Source organism: Homo sapiens, chromosome 16 (assembly GCF_000001405.40).
Source record: "Homo sapiens chromosome 16, GRCh38.p14 Primary Assembly".
NCBI classification, from domain to species: Eukaryota; Metazoa; Chordata; class Mammalia; order Primates; family Hominidae; genus Homo; species Homo sapiens.
In genome coordinates, this window is record NC_000016.10 from 29423926 (window position 1) to 29425410 (window position 1485).

Here is a 1485-nt window from a genome sequence, read left to right on the forward strand (position 1 = left end):
CTCAATGCCCAAATCTACACTCTTGTTTTATTCTATATCCTTGGTTTCTTTTTTTTTTTTGAGATGGAGTCTCACTCTGTCACCCAGGCTGGAGTGCAGTGGCGTGATCTTGGCTCAATGCAAGATCCGCCTCCCGGGTTCATGCCATTCTCCTGCTGCAGCCTCCCGAGTAGTTGGGACTACAGATGCCCGCCCCCATGCCCAGCTAATTTTTTTGTATTTTTAGTAGAGACGGGGTTTCTCCGTGTTATCCAGGATGGTCTTGATCTCCTGACCTCGTGATCCACCCGCCTCAGCATCTCAAAGTGCTGGGATTACAGGCGTTAGCCACCGTGCCCGGCCCACACCTAGGTGATTTTTAAAATTCTTCTAGTAGAGACAGGGTCTCACTATGTCGGGTCGCCGTGTTTGATGTCAGTTTTCCCTGCCAGAATCTACAATCTCCTTGATCACCATTATATCCCAACGTAGAGCTCAGTACCTGGTACAAAGCACATTTGATCAATACTTGCTGAATAAAGAAATAAAAATGAAGAGGCACTCCAGCCTGGGCAACAGAGTGAGATGGTCTCAAAAAAAAAAAAAAAAACGACTGGAAAGGAGATGAGGGTACTTGTGAAGCCATATTATATGACACGCTCTGTGCTAGGACTTTTATATACCTTGTCTCATCTCTTCATCTCATATAATCCTTACAAGTATCTCAAAAGTGGGGAAATCCCCATATAACTGAAGACGAAGGCAGTTCAGAAGTTCACTGATTTGCCCTAAGGTTCCTCAATTTGCAAACGTCAGGCCAATGATCCAACCCCAGGTATGTTTGGCAGTGAAGGACCAGTTGAGTCATAGCTGCAAGTAACCACCCTGCAGTGGTCCCTATCTTGGCCGTTAGCTTACATTGACATTTAACACTCAAATTTACTCAGTAACACCAGCTATCATGTTTTCCACTAAAACTCCACAGCATTCTGGCAACTTTTCTATTTTAGAGCAATAAAGTAAATTGTTAGCATCCCTTTGACATATAAATATTTCTACAAATAGTAATTCTCTAGCCATTCATTTGGAGTATTTAAAACTCAACATTCATAGCACATTTTATGTGACAAAGAACTTATGTTCAGAACACAAAAATAAGTCTTATGTCTTCATTAAAAACGGGTGAAGAATTTGAACATTTGCAAACTAAAATACAAATGGAATACACTCAACATCATTAATCATCAAGAAAATAAAATTATGAGATAATCATTAATAATCACTACATATGCACCACAGTGATTAAAATTTTTTTAAGTTAAGCCACGTGACCCAACAAGGTGCATTCACTCAAGAGAAACGCAAATATATGTCCACTCAAAGACTTGCACATGAATGTTGAGAGCAGGTTTATACTGAATAGTGCAATGTGAAAAAACCCCAAAATCTAGCAAAGGATGAAGGGAGAAATAAACTGTGGTATATATACATACAATAGAACACTAC